This window comes from Homo sapiens, chromosome 9, assembly GCF_000001405.40.
Source record: "Homo sapiens chromosome 9, GRCh38.p14 Primary Assembly".
Taxonomy (NCBI): Eukaryota; Metazoa; Chordata; class Mammalia; order Primates; family Hominidae; genus Homo; species Homo sapiens.
This window is the reverse complement of record NC_000009.12, coordinates 115,066,623-115,094,184: the sequence shown is the minus strand read 5'-3', so window position 1 is coordinate 115,094,184 and position 27,562 is coordinate 115,066,623. Positions and strand designations below refer to the sequence as shown.

At 43.2% G+C, this 27,562-nt stretch overlaps 1 protein-coding gene and 2 long non-coding RNA genes across 44 annotated transcripts in view, besides 1 other annotated feature; 2 read left to right on the top strand and 1 right to left on the bottom strand.

Moving 5' to 3' along the window:
- Window positions 1–6,794, bottom strand: part of LOC124902255 (uncharacterized) — a 35,154-nt gene extending 28,360 nt beyond the window's left edge. Inside the window, exon 1 of the long non-coding RNA XR_007061746.1 lies at window positions 6,731–6,794. This is a non-coding gene — a long non-coding RNA (uncharacterized LOC124902255). The remainder of the gene's footprint in view (window positions 1–6,730) is intronic.
- The window catches only part of TNC (tenascin C), a 98,583-nt gene that overhangs the window by 23,973 nt on the left and 47,048 nt on the right, over window positions 1–27,562 (top strand). For all 42 annotated transcript variants that reach the window (NM_001439099.1, NM_001439096.1, NM_001439098.1 and 39 more), the window contains 9 exons: window positions 3,031–3,623; window positions 6,912–8,321; window positions 9,713–9,976; window positions 11,378–11,493; window positions 12,257–12,413; window positions 15,973–16,242; window positions 17,610–17,795; window positions 18,064–18,153; window positions 20,319–20,582. In NM_001439099.1, coding sequence (NP_001426028.1) covers window positions 3,167–3,623; window positions 6,912–8,321; window positions 9,713–9,976; window positions 11,378–11,493; window positions 12,257–12,413; window positions 15,973–16,242; window positions 17,610–17,795; window positions 18,064–18,153; window positions 20,319–20,582 — 3,214 coding nt within the window. In that variant the 5' untranslated portion in view covers window positions 3,031–3,166. The remainder of the gene's footprint in view (window positions 1–3,030; window positions 3,624–6,911; window positions 8,322–9,712; window positions 9,977–11,377; window positions 11,494–12,256; window positions 12,414–15,972; window positions 16,243–17,609; window positions 17,796–18,063; window positions 18,154–20,318; window positions 20,583–27,562) is intronic.
- Window positions 17,885–18,412: an enhancer, noted in NCBI's record as "OCT4-NANOG hESC enhancer chr9:117838052-117838579 (GRCh37/hg19 assembly coordinates)". NCBI's record gives its function as "activates a minimal SCP1, AML or CMV promoter by ChIP-STARR-seq in primed H9 embryonic stem cells {active_cell/tissue: H9 hESC(primed)}" and the evidence as "EXISTENCE:reporter gene assay evidence [ECO:0000049][PMID:30033119]".
- On the top strand, window positions 20,589–23,045 carry LOC124902256 (uncharacterized). The gene is made up of 2 exons (XR_007061747.1): window positions 20,589–22,574; window positions 22,692–23,045. It is a non-coding gene; the product is annotated as an uncharacterized LOC124902256 (long non-coding RNA).

Sequence of the window (27,562 nt, the reverse complement as noted above, 5' to 3'; positions counted from 1 at the left end):
TTTAATGAGTGCCTACTACGAGCTTGACACCATGCTGGGTACTTTATGTACAGGTCTCTAATCCTTAATTTTCTCTGGAAAGGTTTTGACTCCTTTGTTATATATGAGGTCATGGTTTAGAGAGGATAAGTAGCTTGTCAAAGTTGCAGGGCTAGTGAGTGACATTTGAACCCAGGTATGCCTAATTCCAAAGCCTAACCATTTTCTACAACACTGAAAATATAATGGATTTTTCCCAAAGTACAAAAACACCCACTGCCCTCAGACCACCATGAGCCAATAGGAAATACACAATGCTCAAGAATAACATACTCTTTCCCCCAACGATGCAACATTTGGTGGTACCAGTTTACGTCTCTTAAACACACAGTGAGAAATCCTCACTCTACTCACACTCTGGTCATTATTACCCTAAACTCTTTGCCTTGGAGTCTCAATCAGCAACTATAATGGCTTTTTAGATGGAAATTTAAGTCATTTAGCAACACACAGAAAAGTGTTGGGGAGAAGTCCAAAAACATTTCAAACTTGGCCCATGGCCCTTTCTAAAAAAAAAAAAAAAAAGCTAAGAATTGATGGAAAAGGGGTAGGAAAGTAGAACTTTGTGAAGGTGAAGAGAGTTAGAGCAGCCATTCTAGTAGACTATGCAGCCAATAAATATTTGTCCAGTAAACACATAAGATGGCCAAATTGGTTTGAAAGGAGAGAACATGCCAAGTCTCCTTTTTTATAATAATCTTCATTCAGTGGCCTTACCTACATTACAGACCCACACATTGTTAGTTAAGAAGCTAATTTCAATGAGAAAGCATGCTCAAAAGAGGGTTGGGTATTTTTTGTTTCTTTGTTTTTGTTGTTGTTGTTGTTTTTGTTTTGTTTTGTTTTTGCAGATATTACAGGGACAGTTGGTAAAGTGTCAATAAGAATATAATTAGAATGTGGTAGGTATGTGGATACGACCTTCTTAGTTAAATTCACTAGTGCTTTCTCAGTCCTTAGGCCCCTGATCAGTCATATAGAATGCTTCCCAGTTCAATTTTCCTTGCCACAATTCCTCTCTAAGTTTTGCAAAGGCTTTCTGTCATGAGGAAGGAGATGGTCAGTTGGGATCATGTTGATGCATTCTATCATTAGGATAAAATCTTTCCAGAAAAAAAGTTAGAAACCTTCTTATAGGCTGAATAATCCAAGCACCACCACTAATTGACATAAATAACTAACTTACAGTGTGCGAGTATAAGAATATCATGGGCATAGGGAAATGTCAATTTGTAAATGACATGCTAAAAACCAAATAGCAGCCAGGCACGGTGGCTCATGCCTGTAATCCTAGCACTTTGGGAAGTTGAGGCAAGTGGATTGCCTGAGCTCAGGAGTTCGGGACCAGCCTGGGGAACATGGTGAAACTCCAACTCTACTAAAAAAAAAAAAAAAATACAAAAAATCAGCCAGGCATGGCAGTGTGCACCTGAAATCCCAGCTACTTGGGAGGCTGAGGCAGGAGGATCACTTGAACCTGGGAGGCGGAAGTTGCAGAGAGTCAAGATCATGCCATTGCACTCCAGCCTGGACAACAGAGTGAGACTCTGTCTCAAAAATAAATAAATAAATAAAATAGCTCTTCAATTATCATTTGAATTTTACTCGGGTGCATCTCCTAATTAAAGAAAACCATGAATGACTTCATATCGTGTATAGATCATTCTCACATGCCTCCATAGCATTGTTTTAGTAAATATTATAACTGCCATTTCTTCCTGTCTTTATTTAGTTTCTCAACTGCCTCTAACAAGTCCCCTTTTCTCTGCTACCTGATTGCTCATACAGGTGAATAGCTCTAAGAGAGATGAATAAGATAACTTGGCAAAGTGAGAATTGCTTCATGGTAGCATATTCTCCTCCATATTCTGTTCCCATCTAATTCTTCTCACTATTTAAGGCTCAGCTTAAATTTTACCCTCCCTTTCCCATAAGCTATGCCCCACCTTTCTCTTGACCATTCCTTTTTATTTTCAAACCCCATAGGCAGTTATACACTATACCACAAAACAAATCCTATACATTCTTTCTTGCTTTGCTCCTTAAGTACTGGATGGATGATTCCATTTTCTTCTTAATTCTATTGTTAAGTCCCCTGATGGTATGTATACACTTGGTCTTATATTTATTTCTACCACCCTCAGACCTCTGTAAAAATGCTATAAGTACTTGCTGATTGGAGAAGACATCAGAGGCTCTTAGACATCCTTTCTGAGCTGTGAGCCTCAGTTTAGACAACTGGTTCAAGAATATTCTGTCAGGCTCTTCTAAAAACTGGACTTTTGAAGGTTTTGGAAATAAATCAAGGAGCAGGGAAACTGAGGTGCAGAGGAGTAGACTGAATGCTATACTGACAGTCATATAACTAGTAAGAAGCTCGGCTGGGATTAAAACTGTTTGCCTCCTAGAGTCCTTTATTTTAACCTCTGCCTCTCATGACAGAAGAGAACCAGCAGATGGTGTGGAAATCAGTTTTGAAAATCAATAAGAGGCAAGAGTTACTGAACATCTACCGGGACCAGGGCCTTTATAACACTATAATAATTCACTCAGAAGACATAGTAAATACTGAAGGAATTAATGAATACACAAATAACTTCTACATCATTCTTTTAACCCTGTCATTAGCAACTATGATCTTCACTATACAGAAAGTGAAATAAGGCAAAGAAAAATTACATAACGTATCCAAGGGACCAGAGCTACAGCCAAGATACAAACCTATGTCTATTTTATTTCAATATTTTACCTTTTTCTCTCTATTTTTCTGTCTCCTTAAATTTACAGAAGTTGAATAGTGAGTGAAATCATTCCTTCAAGTGACAAAGTTCTTTTAGAGACCATTGTATGTTATTTCAAGGGTATATAATGAAAAATTATCAGGAGAGCTTCAAATACAGGGATATAAAATCAAAATTCACTTGGAATTGTAGATATTCAATATATTCAATAGTAGATACTCATAATTTTTTTGTTCATCTTTGCTTGTAGAAAATAATTCTTTCAAGAAGATCAGGGACAACTGATTTGAAGTCTACTCTGTGCTTCTAAATCCCCAATTCTGCTGAAAGTGAGATACCCTAGAGCCCTAGAGCCCCAGCAGCACCCAGCCAAACCCACCTCCACCATGGGGGCCATGACTCAGCTGTTGGCAGGTGTCTTTCTTGCTTTCCTTGCCCTCGCTACCGAAGGTGGGGTCCTCAAGAAAGTCATCCGGCACAAGCGACAGAGTGGGGTGAACGCCACCCTGCCAGAAGAGAACCAGCCAGTGGTGTTTAACCACGTTTACAACATCAAGCTGCCAGTGGGATCCCAGTGTTCGGTGGATCTGGAGTCAGCCAGTGGGGAGAAAGACCTGGCACCGCCTTCAGAGCCCAGCGAAAGCTTTCAGGAGCACACAGTGGATGGGGAAAACCAGATTGTCTTCACACATCGCATCAACATCCCCCGCCGGGCCTGTGGCTGTGCCGCAGCCCCTGATGTTAAGGAGCTGCTGAGCAGACTGGAGGAGCTGGAGAACCTGGTGTCTTCCCTGAGGGAGCAATGTACTGCAGGAGCAGGCTGCTGTCTCCAGCCTGCCACAGGTATGAGCTGGTGGCCCGCCCAGTCCCACACTGTGCAAACATGGAGAAATGAAGAGCATAGCAGCATCCATCACTTGCTTCCAAAGTGGGCTCACTAGAAAACTAGCTTCCCAGAGTGTTCATTACAAAGAGATTTTATGTTCAAATAAGTGTGGAGACTGCAGCCATCTCTCTCCTGCTTGGAGGAGTCACGGCGACAACTGCTTCTCAGAGGAATTTTCAGGCTTCTGATAAGTCCTGCTTTGAAAAACCCTATTTTACCTTAATTATAAGTTTCTAAAACGTATTTGACCATGAAATCTACCCACTTTCTACCCCAAAACCTATGAGTACGCCATGAAATTTCTACCCCAGAGAGCACTCTCTGATAGGTACTGCTGTGGCCCCATCACCTCATTTTACAAATAGAGAAACTGAGGCCTGGAAAGAGGATGGGATTCCTGAAGGTCCTCCAATAAGGAGTAGAGTTCCTCACATTTCAGTATTCTTACAAATGCACAGTGCTGCCTGTGATAGTGCTGAGTTATAAGAATTAGAAAAAAGTTCCAATTTAATAGCAATTACAATGATTACAATCATATAAGCTCCCTCTGTGTAACAGGCACTGTTGTATTATCTCATTTAATCCTCCCAACAGCCCTTTAAGGTAAAGATTAGATGAGGGGAAGATAAGTCCTCTTCTACAGATCAAAGAAATGAATCTCAAGGGGATTAACCCACTGGCACAAGATGGCACAAAGAGCAATAAGAGATAGGGTCTTTGGCTAGGCGCAGTGGTTCACGCCTGTAATCCCAGCACTTTGGGAGGCTAAGGCGGGCGGATCACCTGAAGTTAGGAGTTCAAGACCAGCCTGGCCAACATGGTGAAACCCCATCTCTACTAAAAATACAAAATTAGCAGGGTGTGGTGGTGCATGCCTGTAATCCCAGCTACTCAGGAGGCTGAGGCAGGAGAATCACTTGAAACCGAGGGGCAGAGGTTGCAGTGAGCTGAGATCATGCCATTGCACTCCAGCCTGAGTGACAAGAGCAAAACACCATCCGAAAAAAAAAGAGATAGAGAGAGAGAGAGAGAGAGAGAGATAGGGATTTTGCATGTGCCTGTGTGTCTCCAGAGCTCATACTCTCCCATGGATGCCCTGTTTCCACATGCATCCTATTTCAAGGAATTTTGCTGCTTTGGAATTATGTCTTTATCTCCAATAACTAAAGTTGATAAAGCTACATGAGTTTCAACAACTTCAAATCAGAGCTGAAAATCTGTTTCTGCCACTCAGAAAAAAATTACCAAAATGTTCTTCAACAATTATTTCAAGAGTAAACCTAACCACCCTAAGTGAAATAGTCTTACGGCTCTGCAGGACAGGCTCTAGGTTTCTAAGGCAATTTTTAAAAACATTTTCTTTAGGCATAAGTTAGTTTATCTTCCACTTCTGTCAACTCCCTGGAAAAATGCAGATGAGAATACACAGTAGGAGTAATGCTAAGTAGTCAGTTAAAATGATTGTTTAGAGCAGTGCTGTCTAATGAAAATATGACTCACACATGTAATCTTAAATTTTCTAGTAGTCATGTTAAAGAAAGGAGAAAGAAACAAGTAAACATAATTTTAGTCATCTCTTATTTAATTCAACAGAGCCAAAATATTGGTTTTTCAGCCTGAAATCAATATCAAAATTATTAATGGATACTTCTCAGTCTATTATTTTATACTATTTGGAATCTGATGTGTATTTTACACTTACAGAACATCTCAATTTAGACTAGCCACGTTTCAATGCCTAATAACCACATGTGGCCAAGGGCCACCATACTAGATAGTACATACTTAGACTCTCACTTTACAAATCAGCTTTTTTTAAAAAATTCTTTCTTCCTGCTGTCAAGAATGAGATAAAATATATTAATACAAGCTGTTTCTACGTACAGAGACTACAGAGTGAATATACTCTAGTGCAGAGAATATAGAACTGGGTTTTGTTTCTTCTCCTTAAGCTCCATGGAGATCAGACCAATGACTTCTGCAAACTGAGCTAAGGCAATATTTAGGCCTCAAGGGGCTCGAGTAATGTCAACCTTGACCCCACATTCTTTAAGTTGACCTCCACTTAGCCTTCAGGATAGAAAGAAATAAAAGATAAAGGCACTATACTTTTCTGGGGACAGAGCCAAACTGAAAGGTGTCCTTATAGAATTAGAAAGCCATTAGCTACCTCATTTTAGTTGCGGAAAATTAGAATGTTTTGGTTATATAAACCCACATACCAACTTGAGCCAACCTTCCACAAAAAACTTTGGAAAATAAAACAGAAAAAAATAACAAGGACACAAGAGTGAGCTCTTAAGGGGTTTACTTAACTCGGATATACCCCAGGGAAGTGGGCTATTGGCCCAACTTCACGTATAAGAAAACTAAGCTCCAGATAGTCTAAATCCCTTGCCAAATGTGGCATAGATATTGAATCAAAAAGTCAGAATTACATTCAGTTCAACAACTATTTCTTGGGCATCTTTTATGTGCCTGGCCTTGATGAGGCACTAAAGAAATAATAACATAGTGGCCAGTCGTGGTGGCTCACACCTGTAATCCCAGCACTTTGGGAGGCCAAGGCAGGCAGATCACGAGGTCAGGATATTGAGACCATCCTGGCTAACATGGTGAAACCCCATCTCTACAAAAAATGCAAAAAAAATTAGCCGGGCATGGTGGCGGGCGCCTGGAGTCCCAGCTACTCAGGAGGCTGAGGCAGGAGAATGGCATGAACCCAGGAGGCGGAGCTTGCAGTGAGCCAAGATGGCGCCGCTGCACTCCAGCCTGGGCGACAGAGCAAGACTCTGTCTCAAAAAAAAAAAAAAAAAAAAAGAAAAGAAAGAAATAGTAACATAGCCCCAGCCTAATGCATTTCACAAGGCAGTGACTCATAATCATCATAGGAATAGTAAGACTTCTTGAAAATGTGACAAAAACTATGAATCCGCTCCCCAGGGGTGGAAATACACACACACACACACACACACACACACACACACACACCCCTATGCATAATCACACACTGTTTTGGCATACAAGCCTATAATTTCAGGGAATTCAGGTTATGAATTCCTACCTGGTATAACAGGATGTGAGTCTCATCTGATTTCACACACTACAACAAATGGTTCTCAAGCCAGATGGAGCCTGAGGGTGCAACCGTCCTTCAGCTGAATTTGAATCTGGGTGCCCTGGGTAGATACAGAAAAATGTGGCTGCTTAAGCCTGGCTGAGAACTTCTGTTTCTTTTGTTGCAGGCCGCTTGGACACCAGGCCCTTCTGTAGCGGTCGGGGCAACTTCAGCACTGAAGGATGTGGCTGTGTCTGCGAACCTGGCTGGAAAGGCCCCAACTGCTCTGAGCCCGAATGTCCAGGCAACTGTCACCTTCGAGGCCGGTGCATTGATGGGCAGTGCATCTGTGACGACGGCTTCACGGGCGAGGACTGCAGCCAGCTGGCTTGCCCCAGCGACTGCAATGACCAGGGCAAGTGCGTAAATGGAGTCTGCATCTGTTTCGAAGGCTACGCCGGGGCTGACTGCAGCCGTGAAATCTGCCCAGTGCCCTGCAGTGAGGAGCACGGCACATGTGTAGATGGCTTGTGTGTGTGCCACGATGGCTTTGCAGGCGATGACTGCAACAAGCCTCTGTGTCTCAACAATTGCTACAACCGTGGACGATGCGTGGAGAATGAGTGCGTGTGTGATGAGGGTTTCACGGGCGAAGACTGCAGTGAGCTCATCTGCCCCAATGACTGCTTCGACCGGGGCCGCTGCATCAATGGCACCTGCTACTGCGAAGAAGGCTTCACAGGTGAAGACTGCGGGAAACCCACCTGCCCACATGCCTGCCACACCCAGGGCCGGTGTGAGGAGGGGCAGTGTGTATGTGATGAGGGCTTTGCCGGTGTGGACTGCAGCGAGAAGAGGTGTCCTGCTGACTGTCACAATCGTGGCCGCTGTGTAGACGGGCGGTGTGAGTGTGATGATGGTTTCACTGGAGCTGACTGTGGGGAGCTCAAGTGTCCCAATGGCTGCAGTGGCCATGGCCGCTGTGTCAATGGGCAGTGTGTGTGTGATGAGGGCTATACTGGGGAGGACTGCAGCCAGCTACGGTGCCCCAATGACTGTCACAGTCGGGGCCGCTGTGTCGAGGGCAAATGTGTATGTGAGCAAGGCTTCAAGGGCTATGACTGCAGTGACATGAGCTGCCCTAATGACTGTCACCAGCACGGCCGCTGTGTGAATGGCATGTGTGTTTGTGATGACGGCTACACAGGGGAAGACTGCCGGGATCGCCAATGCCCCAGGGACTGCAGCAACAGGGGCCTCTGTGTGGACGGACAGTGCGTCTGTGAGGACGGCTTCACCGGCCCTGACTGTGCAGAACTCTCCTGTCCAAATGACTGCCATGGCCAGGGTCGCTGTGTGAATGGGCAGTGCGTGTGCCATGAAGGATTTATGGGCAAAGACTGCAAGGAGCAAAGATGTCCCAGTGACTGTCATGGCCAGGGCCGCTGCGTGGACGGCCAGTGCATCTGCCACGAGGGCTTCACAGGCCTGGACTGTGGCCAGCACTCCTGCCCCAGTGACTGCAACAACTTAGGACAATGCGTCTCGGGCCGCTGCATCTGCAACGAGGGCTACAGCGGAGAAGACTGCTCAGAGGGTGAGTGCCAGGGCGCAGACCAGCATATAATGGCCATGATGGAGTGGACTCCTAGTATGGGTTGGAAAACTACGTTTATATATATAAACATTCATGCACACTGATTCTTTGTACGTATTAATATATCCATTTAAACACACACCCATAATGACTTTTTAAGGGGGCCCTGTCATTCCGTTGTTACAAGGTGACCTATTTAAGGGCTGAAGGGCTCAGAGAGGTTATATAATTGTCCCAGGGACACACAGCTGACACATCACAGAGCTGGTATTCAAGTCTGCCTAACTCATCTACATAGAGTTTAAAATAAAGTTGGAGAGGCCAGAACACATCTAGTGTTCAAGATGAGGTAGATAAAGGGATACTCTCTCTTTTGCTAAATATCAACTTTATTTCCTACTCTCCACTGACATCAAACCAACAGTAAACAAAATCTCTGTATTTGGATGGATGTAAAAATTCAGCTAAATTGAATACGCAGTGAGATTACATAAAAACAACTGTTTCAAATGCATACTTGGCTAAAGACGAAATGCCTATTATCTACAAGATTGACCTGTCTTTTCATTGTCTTTTGTAACTGGTTTTGTTTTTTTGATTGTTTTGTTTTTTTAATCCTAAAGACTGCAAGCTCCTATCCTTAAAAGGGCACTATTTCTAGCAGTTAGTATGGGACCTGGTACATATTAAGTGCTTAGTAAACCCTGGTTAAGTGAAAACACAGGAGAGAAAATTAATGCTCATATTTAATGAGTGTCTTCTTTGTACTCCTCTCATCTACCCATATTATCATTGTCATAATGGAGAATTTTTTCCTTTACTAAAGTTATTGGTATCTAAACATAAATAAATGGCTTTGTGTTCAATGTGGCGCAAGCAGGGAAGCCTGGTTGGAAAGAACACCAGGCTGGCAGGGAGGAGATACAAGTTCTAAACTTGATGAGGTGAGCAAGCTTGGTCAAGGCGTTCTGTCTTACTCACCTCTATAATATAAGAAAGTTGGACCAGATATGCCCAAAATACCCTCCCAGTGCTAGGGACACGTAACTCAAAGTTCAGAGCAGGGAGTGAGGCTCAGACTGCACTTTCCCATGCCAACAGCCTGCATCTGAGCTAAGACCCAGGAAGCACAGAAAGTTGGAGAGGCCAGAAACACCCAAGGGCACACTGCTGACCTGGGACTCCAGCCTGAAGGAAATGGACTAAGGAACAGCCACCACAGGTCTTAAGATGGATCACAGCAGGGGGTCCCTGATGCCATCTGCATTTTAGAGGCAACAGAAGATCTTCAGACCTCTGTGGCTGACAGTGGAAAAGACAGGTCAAACAAACCTAGAGAGATTTTAGAGGACACACTGTTGACACCAGATGTCCTTTCTTATTCCTGCCAGTGTCTCCTCCCAAAGACCTCGTTGTGACAGAAGTGACGGAAGAGACGGTCAACCTGGCCTGGGACAATGAGATGCGGGTCACAGAGTACCTTGTCGTGTACACGCCCACCCACGAGGGTGGTCTGGAAATGCAGTTCCGTGTGCCTGGGGACCAGACGTCCACCATCATCCAGGAGCTGGAGCCTGGTGTGGAGTACTTTATCCGTGTATTTGCCATCCTGGAGAACAAGAAGAGCATTCCTGTCAGCGCCAGGGTGGCCACGTGTGAGTGAGCAGAACTCTTTTGGGCAGCCTCACCTGATGTCAGCCCACCCAGTGTATAACCCTCCCTCGCCACGGCCCCTACAATCCTATAGTTGTTCTTTACAGTTATACCAAATAAGAGCCTAGAATTAAGTCCATAGAATCACTTATTAAAGAAATCCCTCATTTTCCATCAAATCTTTCTCCTTGCTCTCCTATATACTTCCTGCCAGAGAAAATCATTACAAGTAACATTTAGCAAGTGTTTACTGTGTATCAGACTTTGTTGTAAGCAGTCTACATATTAGTATAAGAGTCCTCATTTGGCCGGGCATGGTGGCTCATGCCCGTAATCCTAGCACTTTGGGAGGCCAAAGTAGGTGGATCACCTGGGGTCACGAGTTCAAGACCAGCCTGGCCAGCATGGCGAAACCCTGTCTCTACTAAAAATACAAAAATTAGTCGGGCCTGGTGGTGCATGCCTGTAATCCCGGCTACTCAGGAGGCTGAGGCAGAGAATAGCTTGAAACCAGGAGGCAGAGTTTGTAGTGAGCTGAGATCATGCCACTGTACTCCAGCCTGGGTGACAGATTGAGACTCTGTCTCAAGAAAAAAAAAAAAAAAAAAGAGTCCTCATTATATGAGTTAGTATATGTATGAAATAGGAGCTATTGTTAACCCCATTTTACAGATGAGGAAACTGAGACTGCATGGTTAAGCATCTTATCCCAAGTCATGCAGCTAACAAGGAGTAGAGGCAAAACTTTAACCCTGGCAGTCCTGGCAGGTTTATGTTCTAAACCACTCTATTACTTTTCAGTGGAGATCACTGACTATTTTTCTTTAAGTGGAAACATTCTGGTTTATGAGTTTAGCATCAGTATAATTACCTTCATATCTAAAAAGCAAGCTCTGGCTAGAAATTGACCCTTTTTTCCTTAATAATAACATTGGCTGCCATTTATTCAACTTGTTCTGCATGCCACGAACCAGGCCCAGCAGTCTACACACTGGAGTGGAGTATATCACTCACTCCTCAATGCATTCCCAAGAAGTAGACATATTTACCTTCTTTTTCCAAGTGAAGAAACTCAGGCTTAGAGCACTGTGTGCAATTGCTCAAGTTCACATTGATAGTAGAGCTTAGATTCTAACCCCAAGTCTGTCTGATTCCAAAGCCTGCGTTCATTTTAGATTTAAACATATGAAATTGCCAAAATTAATCATACCATTTTTCCTAATATTAATTTTTATACAGCCTCATAGAGACCTCATCCCAGAAGAAGCTTTAAAAGGACACCTGCTCTGGTTGTCAGCCCCTGACTGTTGCAGACATCCAGTCTGGTTTAGTGGAATCGTGGCCGCGTTGCCCAATCACACACCTGCCCTATCCTTACGTTCTATTTATGTTGTTACTTACAGACTTACCTGCACCTGAAGGCCTGAAATTCAAGTCCATCAAGGAGACATCTGTGGAAGTGGAGTGGGATCCTCTAGACATTGCTTTTGAAACCTGGGAGATCATCTTCCGGAATATGGTAAGGAGTACAAAAGAGCAGATCCATTTGATCTCAAGGATTTGAAAGATGACCAAAGGGTTCTGAAGACTTCTGTATCAACTAATTTTCCTTAGTTTTTGGTGGAGGACAAGGCTCTCATTAGCATCATTTGTGTTTGCATCTATATTTTAAGGGATGTTGGTTTTTCCCTGATTTTAATAAGTAAGTGTAGCACTTACGGCTGACACCCTAGACAAATAGAAGTTGTCACCTCAAGGTTCCAATTGTCCATCATCACCTTAGAAATCTCTACTCAGAGGCAAAGAAGAGAAGAAACAGTCTCTCCCTCAAAATAAAGGTACATCTCAGATTTGAGCAACCCTTCTCTCCAGGCCCAAAAGTACATGTGAAGCAGGGAACTTGTTCTCTGAATTTAAGCCCAGGCTCTGCCACCAACCAGCTGTGTGACTATCCAACAATCACCCTACTCCTCTGATGCTGGCCTCAGTCTACCCAAGGAGGGATTGAGCTTGTGCCTTCAGAATTCCTTTGGCTCTCACATTCTGTCATTTGACTTGCATGACAAAGGGGTAAAAGTTTACGAATGGGAGAAACAAACTAGAGAAATGTCTTTATCATCTCTGTATCCTCAGTAGCTTACATACTGATCTGATGCATAGTAAGTGCCTAATGAATCGATGAAAGAATAACAGAGGAATGAATGAATGCAGAGTGAATGAATCACATAAATTAAGAGACTGGCACCTCCCCTAACTCTTACCAAGCTGCCTCTATCTCTCAGAATAAAGAAGATGAGGGAGAGATCACCAAAAGCCTGAGGAGGCCAGAGACCTCTTACCGGCAAACTGGTCTAGCTCCTGGGCAAGAGTATGAGATATCTCTGCACATAGTGAAAAACAATACCCGGGGCCCTGGCCTGAAGAGGGTGACCACCACACGTGAGTATCACCTTTAATACTTATAGAATGATAAGGCTGATTGTACCTCATAGCACCTCCTGGTTGAGAAAGTGCCTTCTCATATAGCATCTACATCATTTAACTTTTGCTGCATTTTTAAAAATCCAGATACAGTGGTTTAAAATAACAATTCTTTGCATGTTGGTGATTTGGGTTTGGGCTCAGCTGAGCAGCTTATCTGTTCTTGACTGCACTCCTCATGTATCTGTGTGCTTAAGGGGTGGATTGGCCTAGGATGGCCTCAGCCAGGATGGTGTCTTTCTGTTTCGCAGAGCCTCTCATTCTCCAGGATGCTGGTCCTGTTCACACAGCTATTGAACAGGTTCAAAATTGGCATTAGATCACTTCTATCAAAGCACATCCCACGGCCAGTTTATATTTAAGGAATAGAGAAACAGATCCATCTCTTGATGAAAGGAGTTTCAAAATCTCCTTTCAAAGGGGTGTGACTACCTGAAGATAATTAAGCCCATTGCTAACAATCTAATTAGCATCATGTCACTAGTTTAATATTAGCACCCAGTTGTAGGACAGAGGAAGGGAAAATATTAATGTTAAGGCTTAAAGAAGCTAAATCACTTTAACATCCCATAGTTAACACCATCAGGGGCATAACTTTAAGCCAGGGTAAGTTTTATAACTTTAACCCCATTTCCACTAACATTGACTAGGCTCTGGTTTATGTAGAATGTTGATTCCATCTCTTCAATGGGAACCTAAATAAAATTTCATTCAATACTAATGATGTCAGAAGTTCTTGGGAGTAGAATAGGATTTAGCAGTACTAGATCATTTGGTGAGAAAAAGACCTGAATTTGGAGTTGCTCCACCAGGAAACATTTTTTTTTTTTTTTTCTGTCACCCAGGCTGGAGTGCAGTGGAACGATCTCAGTTCACTGCAATCTCTGCCTCCCAGGTTCAAGTGATTCTCCTGCCTTAGTCTCCCAAGTAGCTGGGATTACAGGCTCCCACCACCACATCTGGCTAATTTTTTTGTATTTTAGTAGAGATGGGGTTTCAGCATGTTGGCCAGGCTGGTTTCCAACTCCTGACCTCAAGTGATCCACCCGCCTCGGCCTCCTAAAGTGCTAGGATTACAGGCGTGAGCCACCGTGCACAGCTGCAATTTTTTAAAAAGAAAAAAATGCATAATTTTGCACTTCCATATAGGAAAACCTCTTTATTTTCTTCAAGATAACATATGCGCCAACTCTTTAAGTAATCGACTCTTCTTGGCAGGGGGTTGTTGGAAAAATTAAATCAGTTGCTAATGACAAGAAAGAACATCTTGCATTTAAATATTTGCACATTTTGCCTAGCTCAGAGCCAATTCAAAGGATTTTCTCTTTCATAAGCAAGTGTTTTCCATCATCCTGACACCACCTCTCTGTGGTAGGTAGAAAAGCAGGTACCAACAGGAAAAAAAAATCATTAGATCACCAGAAAGACAAAGAAAAGACAAAGCAAATGCTTAGTTGCTATGGAGGAGGTGCACTGAACTTTTTTTTTCACTGCTCTTTTGTTTATCTAAATTTGGGAATTGTCTGCTTTATTTCTTCTTATTTTAGAACAAACATTCCAACATTTGAAGTTGCATAATCATAAATTTCAACATAGGGGGACAAATATTTACCTGTTCATTTTGTATTTTTAGTAGAGACAGGATTTCACCATGTTGGCCAGGCTGGTTTTGAACTCCTGATCTCAAGTGATCCACCCGCCTCGGCCTCCTAAGGTGCTGGCATTACAGGCATGAGCCGCCACGGCCGGCCACAATTTACCACATATACCTGAAACCTTTAAACCTTTAACCTTTTTTCCAGATGTAAAGGGCCTTAAACTTCTAGTTCAGAACACATTTGGCTCCTTCTGTCTGGCATCTATATAAAGGTGGTATTATACTTACTTTTGAGGTCAATATGTTTGAGAGGTGTTGTCATGTAAAGGGGGAAAAGGATGGGCTTTGGATTCAATCAGTTCTGAGTTTGAATTCCATCTTTACCATTCACCATCACCTTGGAAAAATCTATTTCTTTAAGCTCCAGATCCAACAGCTGAAAAATGGGTTTATAGTATTCTCCTTGTGGGGTCGTCATAAGACTCAAGACATAAATAACAAAGCACCATCTTTGCACCTGATAAATACAGAGCATTGTTAGTTTCTGCTATTCAAGGGTCCCAAATCTAGGGGGATATCAGTGTCCTTGACGGAAACCCAACTTCTTTAATGCAAGGGGTACTAAGGAAGGTAGTAGGTACGGTTTGGGTGCTTGCTAGCACCTATAAGAACACAGAGCAGGCAGCTTCTGTCCATTTTTGCGACATCATTTTCATTGTGCATTTTACATCATCTGTGAGCTGGGACTGATGTGTCAACACCTAGACTTCAAAAACAGACTCTGCAGTTTTCTCACAATCTGCTGTAAATTATTGTTCCTTTTCATTCCCTGTATAAAGCCCACTTCCTGTCACTTGTTATTGTTTACTGAACCAATGCTGAAAACACATTTAAAAAAAAAAAAAGGAGAAGAAGAAGAAAGAAAGATTCAAAGATTCACTGAATACCCAGAATATGCCTGTCTCTGCTGGGAATTTAAAAGACTCACTCTCTCAATCAATGAATAACCCTACCTAAATTGACTCAAACTGTACAGAAATCTGTTATGAAACAATGAGACACGTATGATATTAGAATGCTCTTCAAGGACAGTGGCAGCCACAGGGAGGGAATATGTGTTTACCTGACTGAAGCCGGGTTAAAAAAAGGCTTCTCATTAGGAGACAACATTTAAGTGGGATTTTGAAGGATGCATAGGAGATTTTTAGAGGGAAGTATGATCTTAGAAAGAAGAAATGAGAGAACAGCATGTACAGAGACCAGGCGGTGCCCAACAGCATAATGTGCTTCCAGAGCTCTGAGCATCTATCAGAGTACAACACCAGAGTAGGTGGGGCAGAAAAAGTCAAGATGAGCCTGCAAAAACAGGCAAGGCTTGAAATAGCAATGACTTTCTTGCGTGAATTCTTTCTATCAAAAATAAGTTTCCATACACTGTCAAGACAGTCTATTGCCTCACTTTTCTGCTTGGTAATTCTGATGGAAAAGTTTTCAGGAAACATCCAGGAAGTTTTGCCTAATTAAAAATTTAAAGAGACTAAGTTCATCTTTTCAAATAAAGTATCCCCAAAGCATGTTTCCTCAACTTATGAGAACAGTAATAATAATAATAATAACAAAAGAACAACCTTTTTTTTTTTCATGTGACATCCATGGGCCAGTCTCTGTGCTAGATGCTTTGCAAGCTTTATCTCTCTTAAGATTTGAAAAAAACAAAAACAAAAAACACTAGAGGTAGCTGCTGTTATCCCTACTTATAGCTTATCAAACCAAAAACTAAGGTTCAGAAAGGCAAAGTAAAGTCAAGCAGTTAGTATAAGTATTCACCCACAGGTCTGGAGAGTTACAAAGTCCTCTCTCTGCTAAGCCTCAGGCAATGGCCCTAACCTCTGAAGCCTCTCTGTCCTCTGCCCATCATAGGCTTGGATGCCCCCAGCCAGATCGAGGTGAAAGATGTCACAGACACCACTGCCTTGATCACCTGGTTCAAGCCCCTGGCTGAGATCGATGGCATTGAGCTGACCTACGGCATCAAAGACGTGCCAGGAGACCGTACCACCATCGATCTCACAGAGGACGAGAACCAGTACTCCATCGGGAACCTGAAGCCTGACACTGAGTACGAGGTGTCCCTCATCTCCCGCAGAGGTGACATGTCAAGCAACCCAGCCAAAGAGACCTTCACAACAGGTAAAAGGCCTCCCCCTGTTAACAGATATAGTAAAGGAAAGATTGAAAGATTTCCATCCCACTCCATGTTGGGGTATCTTCCAGGCTCATTTTACAGTACGAAAAATGAAAGGGGTATTTCTACTCCTGTAAATTTTAAAATATTGTAGCAATTTATTAATTAATTTTTCAAAAAAAATTCCAAATAACCTTCCAAAGCACTTTTGGGGGTGGGGGACATATGTAGAAGATGCTGGTCTGATATTCTCAGACAAAAGTTCTGGTTAAAATAAAGTTCAAATAAATATTTTTAAAGTAAAATATGGTATATGGAAAACATATATGACAAATGAGCCTCCTAACACTTTAGCCTACGGCATTATTTTAAAAGTTCAAAAGTGTCAATTTTTCATTCAGTAAATATTTTTCAGAGCTCAGTAAGTACTTTGTGAGTTATTAGAAATATGATGAGGAGGCCGGGCGTGGTGGCTCACGCCTGTAATCCCAGCACTTGGCAGGCTGATGCAGGCAGATCATGAGGTCAAGAGATGGAGACCATCCTGGCCAACATGGCAAAACCCTGTCTCTACTAAAAGTACAAAAATTGGGGTCAGGCGCAGTGGCTCACGCCTGTAATCCCAGCACTTTGGGAGGCCAAGGCGGGCGAATCACGAGGTCAGGAGATTGAGACCATTCTGGCTAACACAGTGAAACCCCGTCTCTACTAAAAATACAAAAAAAATTAGCCAGGCGTGGTGGCGGGTGCCTGTAGTCCCAGCTACAGGCTGAGGCAGGAGAATGGCATGAACCCAGGAGGTGGAGCTTGCAGTGAGCCGAGATCGCACCACTGCATTCCAACCTGGGTGAAGAGCGAGACTCCGTCTCAAAAAAATAAATAAATAACTGGGCGTGGTGGTGTGCTCCTGCAATCCCAGGTACTCGGGAGGCTGAGGCAGGAGAATCACTTGAACCTGGGAAGCAGGGGTTGCAGTGAGCCGAGATCGCACCAACACACTCCAGCCTGGTGACAGAGCGAGACTCTTGTCTCAAAAAAATAAAATAAAGAATGAAATATGATGAGAAAATGCAAAAGACCAGTTTTTACACTCATGAGCTTATTTTTAAGTCTTTGCATTGTTTCTTTAACCACAAAGTCTGAGAAAAACACAAATGACTAAAGTGTCGCACTCATCCATAATAGGGAAAGGTGCCAAATCTGTAGCACTTGTTTAGATTTGCACATCCACTATGGGGACAGATGAGTGTGCTGAGAATTTTGTAATTTCTCTCCAGTTCCAGGCACGTTTCATATGTCAGCTTGAGCTGTCAAAGACTCCTGCTCTCTTGTGACTGATATGTTCAATACAAATGTTCCTTCTCTCAAACAGGCCTCGATGCTCCCAGGAATCTTCGACGTGTTTCCCAGACAGATAACAGCATCACCCTGGAATGGAGGAATGGCAAGGCAGCTATTGACAGTTACAGAATTAAGTATGCCCCCATCTCTGGAGGGGACCACGCTGAGGTTGATGTTCCAAAGAGCCAACAAGCCACAACCAAAACCACACTCACAGGTGAGCTCTGCATCTCTGCAAGCCTGAGCCAGCCAGCCCTAGAGGGCCCTTAAAGGATGGGCACCTGCTCCCACATGTCCCCATTTGCAACCCTCAGAAATAAGTCCAATTTCCTGAAATACTGCTTATTGGATTGCAGTGAGTTCTTTTGTAAAACATTCCGAAAATTTGTTGTAGCCTCCAGAGACCAACTCAAAGCCATTTTTATCATCCTCTGAAAGTCTCTCTGATTTCAGGATGAATCTCAACTTGCACATTCTCTCCTTAGGTCTGAGGCCGGGAACTGAATATGGGATTGGAGTTTCTGCTGTGAAGGAAGACAAGGAGAGCAATCCAGCGACCATCAACGCAGCCACAGGTGGGGCACACCTGGAATTCCCATCCCACTGAGCTGGTGCTGGGCAGATGAGACAGAGTCAATGTGGCCAAAACCTATTTAAAGAGAAAAAGTAGAAGCCTGGAGGAAAAAGGGCCCTGTAGTACCATCTAGCCCCAATGTTGAAATTCAAAAGGAACATAAGTACGGTCCATCTGTATGATGCCAACATCATCCCCTGTATGGAAAAGGGGACTGGGGATTTTGTGTTTGTTGTTGTTGTTGTTGTTGAGATGGAGTATCGCTCTGCCACCAGGCTGGAGTGTAGTGGCATGATCTCAGCTCACTGCAACCTCCGCCTCCAGGGTTCAAGAGATTCTCCTGCCTCAGCCTCCCGAGTAGCTGGGACTACAGGTGCATACCACCACGCCCAGCTAATTTTTGTATTTTTAGTAGAAATGGGGTTTCACCATGTTGGCCAGGATGGTCTCAATCTCTTGACCTCATGATCCGCCCACCTCGGCCTCCCAAAGTGCTGGGATTACAGGTGTGAGTCACTATGTCCAGCCGGGATTTTTTAAAGAAAAATTGGAACCAGGCTTTGTAAGAAATTCATGAACATGTGTAAGTTGGTAATCAGTTGCATCTTTTAAATAAACCATTATCTAGTCCAAACACAACTGTGGGGTTTTCTCTGAGAAAACACCTAACTTTTATACCCCTGTCAAGCAGATTATAAGTAACAGGATTGTAGTTTAAGTCCAGGCCCTGCACTTACCTGTTGTATCCTGTAGCCGCAGCTTGTAGGTGAGGATGCTGAGGGGCTACCTGATTTGAGGTCATTGATTCTTTCCTCAAGATTTTTTTTTCCATTTTTCTGGGAAGTTTGCACTGCAAAAAGAAAACTCCTCCTCTGCCTCTCCCCCAGCCCCCAGCTTACCTCCCCACAGGCACTATGAGGAAGAAGGAGGCTAGTGTGTAAAGAGGAGATGGATCATCATTGAGCTTCCACATTATGCGGGATGCAAGGCCGGACATTTACATGCCAATTCTTTTTTTTTAATCTTTTGATTTTGAGATAATTGTAGATTCACATGCAATTGTGAGAAAGCATACAGACAGATCCCCTGTGCCCATCACCCAGGTTCCCCCAAGGGTAGCGTCTTGCATAAATGTAGACTAATATAACAACTGAGAAATTGACATTGGCGTAATCTGTCCACTCTATTTATATTTCACCAGTTTTGCATACACTCATTCGTATGTGTGTGTATATACTTAGTTCTATGCAATTTTATCACACATGTAGATTTGTGAATGCACCACTAGAGTCAAGATACAGAACAGTCTTACTACAAGAATCCCACATGCTACCCTTTGCAGCCACAGCCACCTCCCTCCCTTTGCCCCTCTGCCTAACCCTGGGCATTCATTTATCTGTTCTTCATCTCTATGATTTTGCCATTTCAAGGAATGCTGCATAAATGGGATCCTACACATATTAGTCCATTTGAGTTACTGTAACAAGAATAAGAATACCTTAGACCAAGTAACTTATAAACAGAAGAAATTTATTTCTCACAGTTCTGAAGGCTGCGAAGTCCAAGATCAAGATGCCAGCAGATTTGGTGTCTGATGAAGGCCTGCTTTCTGGCTGACAGCAGGCCATCTTTTTACTGTGTCCTCACAGGACAGAAGGGGCAAGGTCTCTTTTATAAGGGCACCACTCCCATTCATGAGGCCTCCCAAAGGTCCCTAGATCCAAATGTCTTCACATTGGGGATTAGGTTTCAACATAAGAACTTTAGAGAGGCACAGACATTCAGTGCATAGCAATACAGCATGTAACATTTTGAAACTGGCTTTTTTTCCTTCAGCATAATTCTCTCGAGATTCATCTAAATTGCTTCTTTTATCAATAGTTGGTTCCTTTTAACTGCTTTAAATCTGAGCAGCATTTTATGGAATGGATATTCCATGACATTATTTTCAATCTTCTCAGACTCCGATGGGGTCATGTGGGTGATGTATAATTAGACCTATTTTACAAAAGTAAAAAGAGAGACCCAGAGATGTGACTCTCCTGTGGTCCCTCAGCTCCTCTGTGGCAGACCTAGGATTCCAGCCCAGATGCAGTTGACTTTCAGCCCCAGAAGCAGCCCTGTCTTGCAGCCTGAAGAGCATTCATCTCTCTGTTCTCCTCCCAGAGTTGGACACGCCCAAGGACCTTCAGGTTTCTGAAACTGCAGAGACCAGCCTGACCCTGCTCTGGAAGACACCGTTGGCCAAATTTGACCGCTACCGCCTCAATTACAGTCTCCCCACAGGCCAGTGGGTGGGAGTGCAGCTTCCAAGAAACACCACTTCCTATGTCCTGAGAGGCCTGGAACCAGGACAGGAGTACAATGTCCTCCTGACAGCCGAGAAAGGCAGACACAAGAGCAAGCCCGCACGTGTGAAGGCATCCACTGGTGAGTCTGCCCTGAGCTTCCTCCAAACTCTAGGTTGATTCTGAGGTTAGCAGATCTCCTCAGCCAGGGTGTCCTCACATGAGAAAGCCAAATGCAAAAGCAAGCCACTTTCTCCATCTCTGAAGCCCCTGAACACCACTTTGAAAGGGCTGCTTACTCGTCTTTTCTACCTCCTGTCAACTGATACAGCAAATTTCCCCCACTGGGAAATAGGGGTTTTAAAATATTTCTTCCTAGGAGAACTTTAAACATCAGGGTTTGTGTTTGCATTTACCTATGATTTTTGTTTTCTTTTCTTAACTGTGCATCACAGCATCTTTTCAATTGTTTCTTGTTTATTTCCTTCTTTTAGCCTAATAATTAATTTACTTTTCATTTTACTTCATTTAAAGATGACCAAGATGTTGGTAATAATATTTTTTTTGTTGTTGTTATTTTCTACAAACTGTTTTTATTCCAGGTCTTTTGCTTTCTGCCAAGGTTACCCCTGAAGAGTGGCACACGGCCCTTTGAGACTTCCATGGTGCCCTCTCATTTTCTCTTTTCTCTTAGTCATTAAGACATTAACCTAGTTTGTCTATGACGACAGCTTAATCCTGACATTGTGGCCCATGCAACTTGTGTCCATTCTGGCCCATGCAACCTGTTCACTGAACCTGAGGCCATGGTTACTCGGTGGCTAAACTGAAGAGACAACCAGGTTTTTAAAATATTTCTTCCTTTATGAAAAATAAGCCTATTCAATTTTGGCCACCAAATATTCGAAATGTATAGGTGGAAAATGTTACTTTTCCAGGGTTTGGCAAGTAATAGTCTTTACTTCCAATTTAATTAGTAAGCATGTATTGAGTACCTACTGCATACATTGTACCGTACTGATATTTGAGGAAAAGTAGTTCCCAAAGTCAGCATTGTTATGTGGACTCATTTGTGCCTGCTCATAGTGCTTGCGGAAGACTAGATACTCAGAATGCTAGACAGAACTCGAGAAAAAGAGTGATCCAAGGAAATCAGGAGAGCTGGCAAAGGTGTTATGGCAAGGGATGTTATTCCAGTTGAAGCTTGATATGCAAGAAAAGGGTTAGAAGTGTGGACATATTTGGAAATGGCTTGAAGAGTCTTTCTCACAATATCTTCAGTCTCAAATCACAGTCACTTACTTAAGATAGAAGTTGGTTTTCTTTCTTATAAAATGAATCTGGAGCTGGGAGGTACAGGGATAACTTAGTAGTTTCAAATTGTCAGGCACCCAGGCTGCTTCTTTCTTTTCCACCATTTTTAGTCCTTGGCTTCCATTCTCAAAGTCATCTCAGTGTCACAACATGGCTGCTGTAATACAGCCATTCCATCTGTGTTCTAGGCAGCATAAGGGAGGAAGAACCAAAACTCCCAAAGAGGAGCACCTTCTGGGTGAGTCTTTCTGGAAACCCCACCAATCACTTCTCCCCATAGTTCATTGGCCACTCCTAGCTGTAAGGGAGGCAGGGAAAGGTAGTCTTCTGTCTGAACATGTTACTTCCACATAAAATTGAGGTCATTTGTAAGAGAGAAATTTGGCAGACAATGAGCAGTCCCTGCCAGAGTCTGAAATGAGTTTACGTGGTCAATTCTGTTGACTCTGCATTGACTGCTTCCCACCCAACTATAAGATGTTTATAAAGGATGCTCTGAAAGAATAGTTTAATTAAAAAATAAGGTGGGGGGCGGGGATAGAACCAAGAAGAAATAAATCTATAGTAGAGATTTAAATTTCAGCTTTATAAACATGAGCTTGTTATAAAGTGTCAAGGGGCAACAAATGAATCAGAAATGCCCAAAAGATGAAATCCCTCTCTTTTCTTTCTCTTTCTCTCTCTTTCTTCCCTCTTCCCTCACTCCTGCTCTTCTTCCTCCTCCTCCTTCCTCTGCCCCTCTCCCTTAGCTTTCCCTTGAGTTTGATAAATGCTGTATCTAAGAGAGATTCCTATTGCCCCTCAATCATTCCACCTTCTGGTGATGGCCACATTGCCTCCTTCCTCCAGTGAGAAAACCTCACACCTGCGCAGTCACTGAAGAAGTTTTATCTCCCTAAGATCCTGAGGTGTGGGGCTTCTCCACTAGAGAAAGGAGGTAATGTGGCTATAACCAGGAGATTTACTAGCTAGAATTATTCTGTTTCTGAATGAGAGCCCCATATTGGCATTCCAAAGCCTCAGCAGTTGCATTTCCCCACCACGCCTCCTTAATGCCATTTCAAAGATATCATGTTTCGTATTTAAAGACATTCTTCAGTGTGGGAAAAATGTGCAAAGTTCTTTTTATTGGTTCTTCTCCACTGTCCACAGACTATTTCCCCCATCCCTTTCTCCACAGGAAAAAATATATATGTTTCATTTAAGGTGAAGCAGACGCTTCTTTCCCTCCTTGAATTCTAACTTTTAAAGCCTTCTGCATTCACTCAGTCAATAAAATACTATCACCATGCTCTGTGCTAAGTTCTGGGGTTACTAGAGCAAAGAAGACGGGTATTTAATTCCAAGGAACTCACTGTGTAGCGAACAAACAGACACTGAGATAACATTCTGCTCACTACGATCGAGGGTACAGAGGGTGCAGCCAGTGCTCAGGAGACACTGGATCTAACTTCAGAGAATCAGGAAAGGCTTACAATGGGAAGACGCTTTTGGACAGAGACATAAGAGGCAAACATAGATGTGTTAAATGGAATAGCTAAAGAAGTAGAAGCCCAGGCACCTGACCTTGGTAAGCATAGAGGAAGAAAGAAAACAGGAAAAGCGAGAGCTCTTGGGTGAAGGAGCCATGTGGCTATAAGTCCTGAAATGTTGCAGAGTTTTAGGTTCAACCATCAGAAGCAAGAACCTTCCAGCTCTGTATCACTGGATTCTTAATAGCAGAAGCCTGCCAGGCGCCACTCAATGTCTGTGGGGCTTACAGAGAAAAATGAAGAATCAGTGGCCCTGAAGAATTTTTCCTGGGGAATTCCAGGGTTTTACTGATGGATTGGGCCATAATGTAAGTCTTTTTCTTGATGTGGCACCATACTAAAAATATGCATAACCTGGCCACCTATCACACCTCTCGCCCAAAGACCCAGCCATGGGTTACAGGGCCCTACAGAATCTGGCACGGCCAGCCCATCCTCTGACCTCAGTCCTGCCACTCATTCCCTTGCTCACTTCACCATGGCCTCTTGGGCCTTCACACTGTTCCTTAAGCTTTCTGAGCCTGCTCCCACCCTCGGGCTTTGGAGTGTGCTGCTCCCACTCCCTGGATACCACTCTTTTCCCAGCACTTCACAGAGCGTGCTCCCTCATTTCACTCAGCAGCTCAGATATGACCCAGAACAGAGGGCTTCTCTGACTACCAGCCTAAAAAGGCACCCCCATCCTGATCTACCCCTTCAAGCTGCTCTAGGTTTCCTTGTGAAACTTATCTGCCTTGATATTATGCAAGTATTGGTTTACTATAATATCTATGGCCTGCCTCCCCATCAGTGAGCAGAATATAAGGACTGATTCCATCATCCACTGCTGAATCCCAGTGCCCTGAAGGCAGACAAGTATGTGGTATGAGCTTCATGAGTGTTTAGGGACCCTGGCTACTTCAGAGTCAGCATTTCCATAGAATCTTCTGATTCTTCCCTTCCACCTCTGCATTAACACCCCAATTCTTTCCTTAAGGCATAAGGGAAATCATTCCCTTGGAAAGTCTTCAATTCCGCTTAATCTGGATAGAAAAGGAAGGAAGGAAGGAAAGAAGGAAGGAAGGGAGGAAGGAAGGGAGGGAGGGAGGGAGGAAGGGAGGAAGGAAGGAAGGAAGGAAGGAAGGGAGGGAGGGAGGGAGGGAGGGAGGGAGGGAGGGAGGGAGGAAGGGAGGAAGGAAGGAAGGAAGGAAGGGAGGGAGGGAGGGAGGGAGGGAGGGAGGGAGGGAGGAAGGGAGGGAGGGAGGGAGGGAGGGAGGAAGGGAGGGAGGGAGGGAGGGAGAGAGGGAGGGAGGGAGGGAGGAAGGGAAGGAAAGAAGGGAGGAGGGAAGAACGAAAGGTACCGTGTCTGTTGGCATTTAAAAAAATTAGTGTGTACCAGGCATCATTCCCTCTCCTCCTCTCCCATTCCCTCCCTTCTCTTTCCCTCTCCTCCACTCTATTCTCCTCCCCTCTCCTTCCTCTCTTCTCCCCTCTTCTCTCTCCTCTCCTCTCTCTCCCTTTTCTCTCTGCTTTTGTACTCTTATAAACCCAACTAAACCCTGCTTAAGGTCAAAGCCATGAATTTGCTGCATGCCATAAGAGACAGGAGGCAGGGGTGATAGGCAGAAACATAAAGCCAGCAAAGCATATTTTCATAGCAACATAAGCCTTGACAGTGACAACCCAGTAGCTCTCAGGAATTTTGGAAGAAGAAAGGTGGAATTTTGTTTTTAGCCACAGCTACCAGTAATACAGAACATTCTGCTCTTATTTGCTATTTTGATTTTCTCACAGACCAAACTGAAATTTATTCAAATATTTATTCATCCAGCAAATATTTATTTCATACCTACTGTGGGTCAGGCGATGCCGGTGTATAGAAGAGAAAGAAACAGCTTCTCTTCTCAAGAAATGGTGCACGTTGCTATAAGAGAGAGAACCAAAACCCAAATTATAACACTGTAGCTTATCTGTTTTAGAGGGATTTGTGGGAGGCTGCAGGAGCATACAGACAGGTACCCATCACAGACCTAAGCAAAGGGAATGAAAAGCACTGGAGAAGGCTTTTTGGAAGAAGTGATGTTTGGTTGAGTTCTGAAAAAGAAAAGGGGCTGGGCAAGTGGAGAAAGAGTAATGACATTTCCAGCAAAGGGAATAGCATCTGAAAAGCTGAAAAGCATGAGAAACTTTACCTTAGTGAACTGCAAGCTATACAGTCCTGCTATATGATAGAGTGGGAAAACAGTAGGGTAGGAGGCTAGAGACATCATCAGGGGCATCTGCAAAGGGGCTTGGTTCTTGGCAGTTACAAAGAAATCACCGAATGTTTTAAGGCAGCCAAGGCTTCTCATTTCAATTGTCTTATCTCTGAGAGATGAGAGTAAAGCGACTGAAGATACCCTTTGGGGTTGTCAGGCTTGGATGTGACCATGCCCCTGCTGTGGGAGAATCACTCTTTCTCCCCTAAGTGGACGCTGAAGTGAGTTCCTCATCAAGCCAGCACTTGGTAATCACTATCTAGAAGATGGTAACAATCTACAGATTTTTAAGTTGGCACTGTCAGAAATTCCTCCAGACCAGCTGCTCAACCCACCAGGAGCACAGCAATGGGTTTCAAAATTCTGATTTCCCAGGCCCACTGACATTGTTCAAGGGTAGATTCCAGTGCACAGCTGTAAGAAGAAGACAACAGCCTTTTGATAAAGAAATGCCAAGAAATTCAGTGTGGAATCTATAATGGAAACACTTGGCTTCTAGGGCAGTAAGTCCACAGTATGTCATTTGCAGTTGAAATGTGGAGCCAGCATTTATGTGAAGCCTCTTGGTCCTCATCTCAACTATTGTCCACTGTATTTTTTATTCATAATATTCCCCCTTCTTTCATAATTCTGACCCCCTCTCTCTTTAATTTAGCTACTGATTTTATTTGTGGAAGTTGTACCTTTTACTCACTTGGCTAGCATTTATTTAATAAAGGGATCTGGATGGGGCACACGTAGCATCCACTACTGACATGGCCACAGTACTGCCTCTCTGAGTTATAAACCAATGCTCTTTCTTGATTTGCCTACCAAAAAAAAAAAATAGTAGAGAAATAGCCAAAAGTGTTAGCAGAAGTACCAACACCATCACTATTACTATTTACTGAACAACATGACATTATGTAAAAAAAAAATCACTCTATCAACTATATGAACAGATGAAACAGGATGTGGGGACAATTAGATGAAAGTATCAGTGGCATACTAAATATCCGATTCAAAGAGATAAGATGATTCTCATTAGGAAGAGACATTTTCCAACGTGCATCTTTTCTCTCCATCCATCTTTTGCCACAGCTTAATGGGCAATCCACAATCTCATTCCCCCACCCCCCGTAAGGTAACTTTCCCAATATCTCTTTCAAGGGGGCATTTAAAATTTATTTTATAGAAAAAAATGTTTTATGTAACAATTAGACATAAGGATTAAAAGATAGACACCCGTAGAAAAAAGACAGTAACTTAATTCACACGAAGGGGTACGTTGTCAATGACAGATTAGTTCCTGACAGGTGGACAGCAGAGAAACAAAAACAGGAAAGTGGGATAAGAAGGAGAGCTAAGAAGACATAGGGTTGATTTAATTTTCACTTAGCTCTGTTTTTGTCCTATATCTCTTTCTGTATCAGGACTGCTGAAATATTTGAGAAGGACATGCTCTTGAGTTTAGTTGTGCTTAAATCCCAATGTCAAGGGTATAATCACTATATCCAGGGAACTGTTTCTGGCCTCACAAGGCCCAGCAGGATTAAAGGTAGTTGACACCTCCTTTCTTTTCCTAAATCTAGATACATCACTTGCAGTTTGGGGTCCTCCCTTTCTCATAAAGACCATGTTTAGGTGGTTAAGAACTGCTTTGGAGCCTCTGGTGTAAGCTTTAGGATATGAGTCGGGGTTAAAGAGGAGTCTGTATTCAAGATCAAGTATTGCAAACATTTTCTGTAAAGGGCCAGATGGTAAATATTTTAGACTTTATAGGCCAGAGAGTTTCCATTACAATTATTCAACTGCACATTTTGTAACACAAAAGCAGCCATCAACAATATATAAGTGAACAAGCATGGCTATGCTCCAATAAAACTTTATCTGTGGCACCAGAATTGGAATTTTATATGACTTGCATGCACCATGAAATAATATTCTTCTTTGGATTTATTTCCCGACCATGTAAAAAAGTAAGAAAAACTGTTGTTAGCTTGCTGACTACCAAAATAAGCAGCTGGCCAGATGTGGGCCTCGGGTAACAGTTTGCGGAC